This window comes from Homo sapiens, chromosome 9 (assembly GCF_000001405.40).
Source record: "Homo sapiens chromosome 9, GRCh38.p14 Primary Assembly".
Taxonomy (NCBI): domain Eukaryota; kingdom Metazoa; phylum Chordata; class Mammalia; order Primates; family Hominidae; genus Homo; species Homo sapiens.
This window is the reverse complement of record NC_000009.12, coordinates 79,020,638-79,029,274: the sequence shown is the minus strand read 5'-3', so window position 1 is coordinate 79,029,274 and position 8,637 is coordinate 79,020,638. Positions and strand designations below refer to the sequence as shown.

Here is an 8,637-nt window from a genome sequence, read left to right as displayed (position 1 = left end):
AGTGGTTATCTATTAATTTGTATTAGAATACAATAAATATTATTCAAGTGTTTTTTGACAATACACTCAGTTTTAAAAGCTGTCTGGACTGTCAAAAATAATATATTTTATGTGAGTTCTATATAAATTTTCATTGAATTCAAACTTTTAAATAAATCTTCCAATATCTAATGCATCATATTATCAAAGCACAAAAAACCATTATATGATTATAAGAAGAACCTCAGAACTCACTGTCTTCAAATTTAATGGACTCCCAATGCTTTTTCCCCCTGCAAAGACTGTTTTTAAGACATTTCACAGTATTTTATACATTATAAATGGATTCCATTCTTGGCTAAGTAATTCACCTAATGGACAATGGATACAAAAAAGCTGTAACTCCAGGGACATTAAATTGGTTCTTAACTCTGAAAATTACAGCTTTTACAAAAAGAAGAAAATACTAAAAACATGTCTAATGCAACACTGCATCTAATTTTCCACTACCTCCAGATTGTGTCTAAAAGCTCCTAAACTTCTTAATGACACAATATGTTAAAATTGCGTTCCTTTATATTTAGATCTCAGAAAGATCTCACCCATTTTATAACCCTAAGGAGGGCTTACGAGCAAGGAGAGCTTGTGTGTGTGTGTGTGTGTGTGTGTGTGTGTGTGTGTGTGTGTGTGTGTGTGTGTTGGGAGGCAGAGGGAGGAACAAGTGGAAGGTGCTACTTCTATCCCAAGAGACTGTGAATTCTCATACTGAGGTAGGAAACTAACACCCTGTGTGGCATCCTTTTTCACTCACCAAGGTGATTACAAATCCACATTTCCATTTTAAGCACTGATCAATGGTATTTCAGTAAGGGAACAGAAGAGGAACAGAAAAAATTGCTTTCAAGACATACCTAGTATGTCTTAAGCCTTAAGACCAGCTTTTAATTTGATAACACCATTATTCAGATCTGTTTCCATTCCAAGAACATGAGCAATTCTCCCTGAAGCCAAACAATACATTCAAGCAGTCAGAGTAGAAAAATTATTCCACTGAACTGTAAATACAAAATGCTTCACATTTTGTCAATTCACGTGTGACTATAATAAAATACGACCAGTGTCTGAATGCAAACAGTCCGTGAATTGGCACAGATTCTAATAATGCTTACCTTGTAGTTAGTTATTTTATGAGCTATTCTAATTTCAAAGACGACTGTTCCCCACTCCCCTTCACCTCTCCCTTCTCCTAAAGAAATAAGTGGTTCAGAATACTATCACTGTAACATAAGTCCCTCCATCTAATCCTTTTATCTTTTCCTCTACCTTACTTTGAGATTAGTAACTTTCTTCCTCCAAGTAATTATTTTCTTGAGATTTCTCCCACATCTTTGCAAATAGCTAACATAAGAACAGCATGCAGAGATGCCCAGCTGATCACTTGGGTGTTTTACTTTACATCGGTTATTTGTGTTTGAGAAAATAATATTTCATTCTAGTTTTTACTCACTCCCTTTTAAACTACTGATAAATCTATGAGAAAGTCTGTACATCTTTCAGAGAATCTGTGTTTCTTTTAAATCAGCACCCTTTGACCACTTAAGTCAATAAAAACTTCTCTTTTCCTAACAACTTTTATTATTCTAAATTGACTTATTATAACAGAAACTTACCTAGACTGGGCATTTTGGCTGTGTGGATTTGAGCACTTCATCTTTCTTGTAATACATTGATAATGTGCAATTTTTTATGCTAAAGAAAAAAATACATTGCCAGCTTTCATTCCCAACTTCTCTCTTAATTTGCACCTATTCTTTCCTTAAAGGCTGCATGTTACCCTCTAGTCCTCAAGGAGAGCACTTGATTTTCTTAAGAAATTACATATTTCTGTTAGAAGCTTAGTTACCCTGTTCCTCCCTTGATTGGGTCTGTGAGATTTATCACAAGTGAATTTTTCCATCTTGTTCCTTAAAACTTCTTGGATACGTTTCATCATCAATGGCACACACTGCACCTCCGTATTATGCGAGGTAACTGCAGTAAACATTTCCCATCATTTTTACAAACATTATTTATGTGAAAATAGGCCTTACTTTCTCCACATTCTCATGCCCTTTGTCCCCTCCCTGCATTACCTATTATCTGTCATTTCCCAGAATTCTCTTGAATCTAAACATCTGAAATAATTTCACCATCTATCACCACCATCCAACATTTTCACAAAAATCCTGTGAATCCTAACTCCTAAATATCTCTAGAATCTGCTCCAAGTTTTCCCTCTTCCCTATAATTTTATGCACCCATAATGATAACTAATATCGATTACAAAGTTATAGTGCATTAATGTTTCATTATACTTTATTTTATTGTATCAAGTCATTCTTACAGTAGCTACTGGCACTCCTCTACTCTATAGCTAGCTAATTGTTTGAGGTCCCCAAATGAAGGCAGTAATTAACGTTTGAACCTAAGCAGACTGATTTCAGAGCCCATGCAACACAGTGTTCCAGCTTAGACTATTCCAAGATGCTCCAAATTGCGCTTCCAAGCTCTAGTTTCAGCTTCATCCCTTTTCTCCTCCACAGAGCCACTGAGCTGACTTTCTGAAACATGATTCTGAAAAATCATCCGTCTGCTAAAAAAAACTTCAGCAGCTTCCTGTTCTCTACAGGGCACTGCCCACTCTTCTCAGTGAGCATAAAAAGCCTTCTGCAGTCACACCTAACCTCTCCCACATGTTCTACCCCAACAACACCTGCTGCTCCAGCTACTGAAAGATCACCATTCCTTGGAGACATGCCCTTGCATGTCTTTCTGCCCAGAGTCACGCTCTGCCTGCAGCACTTTTCTCTGAACTCACTGCCTGGAGTGCTTCTGCTCAGCATGTGCACTGCTTGTGCACACCTGGTCATGAGCATCGCCTCTTTGATGAAGACTTCCTGAAATGATTTTGCACAAATCACTCTTCCTTCCACTGGGTTGCCTGAGACTTCTGTTCACAACTCTATTAGCGCACATAGATCTCTCTCCCTGATGGTGAACATGTCAAGGAACAGCTTTAAGGTCTTTAAGATCTTTTCTGTCTCTCCAGTGCTTCCTATATAATGTGATTAGTTAATAAATGTTCATCAAATAATGACCAAATCCTTCTCCCCTACCCCTTACCTTTCTAATATTATTTTTTCCTTGAATAAAAATCATAGGCTTAAAGATAATACCCAGGGATCTCTAATAAAAATATTAACTTTTAGCCAGACAGAATTTACACCTTGAGGGATATTTCATAAATTCTTTCCTTGAGTCACTCTTGGTTCCTCTCACTGAGATGTCTGATAATCTCTCAGTTACCAACCCTGCAGCATGGTGATCTCAAAGTGTGCTCTGGGAACCACTGGGGCCCCTGATACCTGGAGGTCTGTGAAGTCACAACTATTTTTGTGGTGATACTAGAAACTTATTTGCCTTTGCACTCTTGTTCTCTCATGAGTGTACAACGGAATTGTCTAAAAGGCTACCTGACGTGTTGATATTCTCAATCTGTTGGCTAATGGAATGTGTGCTTGTACATGCTTATGTTTTAGAAGTTTCTCAGTTTTATTTCCAATACAGTAAATATTAATAGTAGCTATATTCCACATAAAGAAAAGCTCTTTGGGTACTTCAAAATAATTTAATAATATAATAGGGTCCTAAGACCAAAAGTTGAAGAACCACGTCTCCAGTAGTATGCTGGAGAAAATTCTGGCGTGCTAAAAATGACATACAGAGTAGAATCACAATTTCAAAGTTTTCATGTGTATTTTTATTGTATATTATCCATCTTGCAATGCATCCTGAAATTTTTATTTTATCATATTTGAAGAATCTTGTCCAAAATCTACTTTCTGCAAAGCAATGTTGATCGTGACCCAGAATGGTGTGCTTTTATAGGGGATTATAAACTGCTTGATGGTTAGTTCCAGTATCTACCCAGTTATCAAAGTTAAACTGACTTCTCTACAAATATAAGATTTGTGCATTTTAAAAAGTAAGGAAGCACATAAATTTTCTTTCTTCAAGCTCCTAGAGAACTCAGTAATAGTGTCCCATAGTTTTCTTTTATTTATTATACTGATTTCTGAATCAGTCTCTGAAATATTTAATCTGTTTTTTAATGCAACAGGAAAAATTTATAATTCCTAAAGTTTTTTTTCATTTAGTCTAAATCTATAAACCTTTTTCAAGGTTATACCCTTTTCAAACAGCTCCCTTGCATTTTATAATTATGTACATTTTAAAATGAATTATCCTGTCTTTGTGTTCTTATATTTTCTTAAATGTAGTAACAAGAATATGTGAGAAAAAGTCTATTCTAGGATAAGCCTTTATGCCTTCTAATAATCCAGATTTAACATTTATGATTTTTCTTATGTAATTTCTTCTTTCACTAAGGCATACACAAAAAGAAGTGCTAAGAAATTTCTACTTATTTTGACTTCCTAAAAATATCATGCATATATTCATCTTGGCTAATCTTTCTGTATGAGGTTTCAAATAGATTGTGTTATAACATTTTCACTCGAATAAAAATCCTTTATGAGTTTTTACTGAGATATTAAACTTACATGGGACTTCAAATGCTTATGAGGGAGTGTTTGTTTCTTCTCAAGGTGATGCACTATAAAACAGCCTACCTCAAGAGATGATGTGATGAAATTCAACAAAAATAATAAATAATTAGGAAACTTAAACGTCTAATATCTACTGGAATCTCACGGAGCCTTCAAAAAACTGCATTGATTCCAGCAAAAAAGTAACAAAATGAATTTCCTCCCACCATTATCACTCTCACAAACACATCTAACTTTTGAAGATGTAGCTGGATAAGGTAGAAAAAAAAATCTAAAAATCTGATCAAGAAACCACATTGAGATAAGTTTTGTCAAGTTGGAAGCTTCCAGGATTACAGGTAATTCTCGAGCTCATTGCCATGATAGACTCTTTCACACGTAGCTGCCCTTTAGGGCTCTGCAGGACCCCACATAGACACCCTGTTGTTTCTCACATTTTCTTGTAATTTGAAGAGATAAATGGTGCCAGCTGGCTCCTGTTTGACTCAAGGCAACGTGATATTCAGCTCCTCAAAAACTTGGTACACACCTTAGAAAACTTGCCAGAAAGAATGAAGAGCAAGGGGTGTGTGTATTCAACTGGGGAGAGAAAAAGTCTAGAGGAAGAAATACCTGAATCAAGTCGCTGGAGTAGCATTCTTTGGGAATTTAATATGCAAATAAGCAGTAATGCTTATAAATCACTGGGGAACCATACAGGGTTGGACTAAAGCTCAATACACAAATATGAAAAAACAAGTATCTAACATATTTGGAAAAAAATTTACATCAATTTTACTTGGTTAAATCACTCTCATTTTCTCAGTTGGATAGATCCATTGGGGAAAGAAGGTGGCAGAGTGCTATAATTAAAATAAATCTTTAAATGGCTTTTCCTGTAGTAAAATTTATGTTGAAATAAATGAGAATATGTGCAGTTGAATGCCAACAAATAAATAAATGACACTTTTTGAGTGTTTAATGTGTGCCAAGCATTCTTCCAGGGGATTCACATGGAGTAACTAATTTAAATCTCACAAATACTCAATGCTATGGGTAACTATCATTACCTCCATTTCATAAATGAAATGAAGAAACTGAGGCAGAGAGAGTTTTAGTCCTTTTCCAGAGAGCACATGTAACCAGTGGTAGTGCTGGAATTTGAACTCAGGAAGTCTTGCTCCAGGGATCATACCCTTGCTCACTTCCTATTGCCTTGAGACCATGTGTAATGCCAAGGTGAAATTGCTTTGCCACTCTCTCATGACGTGTTTTATATTCTGTAATTGTATATGTTCCAATACTTACTACTTGCAGGTATTCTTTGTTGTTCTCATTTTCACCACTCTGATCCTCTTCCTCCCTGTCTTGAACATATATCAAGAGACCAAGCCTTGTAACAAATTCCACAAGAAATTCAAAGACTAACTCACACATAGCTGGTGGCTAGGAAAACATTTTTTAGTGATTAGATCATAAACTAGTCATCCGTACCATAAAACAAGTTTGCCATCATGTCCTCGTTCATGTGGTAGTTGGTAGTTTTTTTAATGAATACTTAAAAGTAAAGCTGACTTGTTTTCTAATTATAAAAGTATTGCATGCTTACTGTAAAACTCATAGAAAACACTGAAGTGGAAGGAAAAATTCCTAACCTGAAAAATCAGCCACTATTAGCATTTGGTCTGTCTCCACAAAGAAACTTCTAAGAATCAGGACTGTTCAACAGCAGGATTAGGAGTGAGCTTGATATTACTGGAAGCAGACCCCTGGAAGAGAGGGAGACGACTTAGCTCAATTGGTAGGTTACATAATGTCAGTGGAGTACTCTGTGACATTGGATCTTTGGGGGAAAAAATGTCCTGATTTGTAGTGTTGGCCAATTTCCATGGTGTAAATACTCCCCCCGTGGCCAATACCAAGCTATCAACATGCCACTGAATGTGGAGCTGGGATAGGTGAACACTTCAGCTCTTGCAATCTAGTACCAAACCAGACCCAGTACAGCACTGATAGTGTTCTCTAAACTTCTTTTTACCTCTAACAGTCTTGCATTCTTTTAGCCAAAATGTTATTTTCCCTTCTTTGTTACGAAGTTATTTTTCTGCTTCCCTTGCCAGAACCCAGCATTGGCCTCCCAAACTGGTTCACAAACATACTTGGCCCTCTTTCTATTCATCCTTTACAAGAAAACTGGAGAATCTTTTAAAAACACAAATCTGAACGTGCCCTTTTCCCTGCTTGAACAAATTCAATGGCTTCTGCGGTAGGCTGAATACCAGCCCCCCCATTATGTCCATGTCCTAATCTTCAGAAACAAAATGCTACCTTATATGGCAAAAGAGACTTTGCAATTGTGATTAATTAGGAACTTTGGATGGGTAGATTATCACGTATCATCTGGATGGGCCTGATAGACTCACAATGGTCCTTATAAAAAAGAGACAGGCGAGTTCAGGGTCAAAGCAGAAGGTGCTGTGATGACAGAATCAGAGATTGGGATGACGCACTTTGAAGACAGAGAATGAGGCGCAAGTCAAAAGATACAGGTGGCCACTAGAAGCCGAAAAAGTAAGGAAACAGGTCCTCTCCTCAGTGCCTTGAGAAGAACCAGCTTTGCCAACACTTTGATATTAACCCAGTGAAACTGATCTTAGACTTCTGACTTCCAGAACTATAATCAGAGAATATATTCGTGTTGTTTTAAGCCACTAAGTTTGTGCTAATTTTTTATAGCAGCAATAGGAAACTAATACAGTATCCCTTTCTATAAAGTAAAGACAAAGCCCCTTCCAATAGCCTTTGTCTCCTATATGGCCTCACCTGTACCTATTCTGTCAACTCATAGCACTTGTTCTCTTGTTTTTTTCCACTCCATTCCCACTGGTTTTCTTTCAGTCCACTATATTTTCCGTGCCTTGGCTGCAACAGTGCATTTTCCTATGCTGTTACTTCTGCCTGGAATGCTCTTCTCTCTGATTTTTTTTCTAGTTAATAGTTATTTCCTAATTATATGTCAATTTAAGCATAACTTACATAGAAAGGAATACACACACACACACACATATGCATACACACTCATATATTTATGTATGTATGAATACTAACATACATATGTATATATTGTGTATATATGCATATATTTATTATATAAATACAATAAACATAAATTTATAAATAAATGCATGCATATACAGTATATACACATATATGTATATGTATATATATATGACACACATAGAAGAGTGTCTCTCTTCTTCCTTGAATTTATAGCAATTGAAATTTTTACATGTATTTGTATGATTTTTAATTGCCTTTCTCCAGCACTGAGTAGCGTCTATGCTAGTTTTAACTTACTTGTGTATCCCAGGGGCCTGACACATATGAGGTATTAAATAAATATTTGATATGTGATTTAATACTTCCCAGCTCATTCCTCTCTGTGTGTTCAATACACTCTTTGTTCTATAGTCATGCATCCAACCAACATTTACCAAGAGTCAACTTTACACAAAGTTCTGATCTTATACATTCATGCAATTTCTAATAAAAAAGACATAGTAATAACAGCTAATCTCTATTGAGAATTTACTGTATCAAGCACTGTAATAAATATTTTAAGTATAGAAGCTTATCTTACCCTCATGAGTATAATTAAATTTTCAGATACGAAAAAATAGGCCCTAAAATATTTATGTAATTTTCAGTAGACCACATGATGAGAACTAGATTTGAGTGTGTAGATTTGACTGGCAAAACTTTCATTTCTTAGCACAATATTATTGTCCTTTTGAGGTTCCATACTTGTTTTTAAGAATGAATTACATATCTGTGTGTATTATGTATTAGCCCATTTTTGTTCTGTTTTTGCTTTTTTTTTCACTCTGTATTCTTTTTTTAAGAACAATCCATATTGCTGGAATACATTGGTTCTAACTGTTGCCGTGTTTTATTCAACAATATTTATTTATTACAATCTTACAACATCAGAAAGGCCTAATTCTTCTCTAATAGCCATTCCTTCTTCTTCCTTTAATAGTGATGGGCAGCTGAGCACATGGCCATTTAGTTA

At 35.7% G+C, this 8,637-nt stretch overlaps 2 annotated features.

Moving 5' to 3' along the window:
• Positions 2,132–3,331: an enhancer, noted in NCBI's record as "MED14-independent group 3 enhancer chr9:81640860-81642059 (GRCh37/hg19 assembly coordinates)". NCBI's record gives its function as "activates an origin of replication core promoter dependent on BRD2, BRD4, P300/CBP and CDK7 cofactors, and independent of MED14, by STARR-seq in HCT116 cells {active_cell/tissue: HCT116}" and the evidence as "EXISTENCE:reporter gene assay evidence [ECO:0000049][PMID:35650434]".
• Positions 5,633–6,832: an enhancer, noted in NCBI's record as "CDK7 strongly-dependent group 2 enhancer chr9:81637359-81638558 (GRCh37/hg19 assembly coordinates)". NCBI's record gives its function as "activates an origin of replication core promoter dependent on BRD2, BRD4, P300/CBP, MED14 and CDK7 cofactors, with strong dependence on CDK7, by STARR-seq in HCT116 cells {active_cell/tissue: HCT116}" and the evidence as "EXISTENCE:reporter gene assay evidence [ECO:0000049][PMID:35650434]".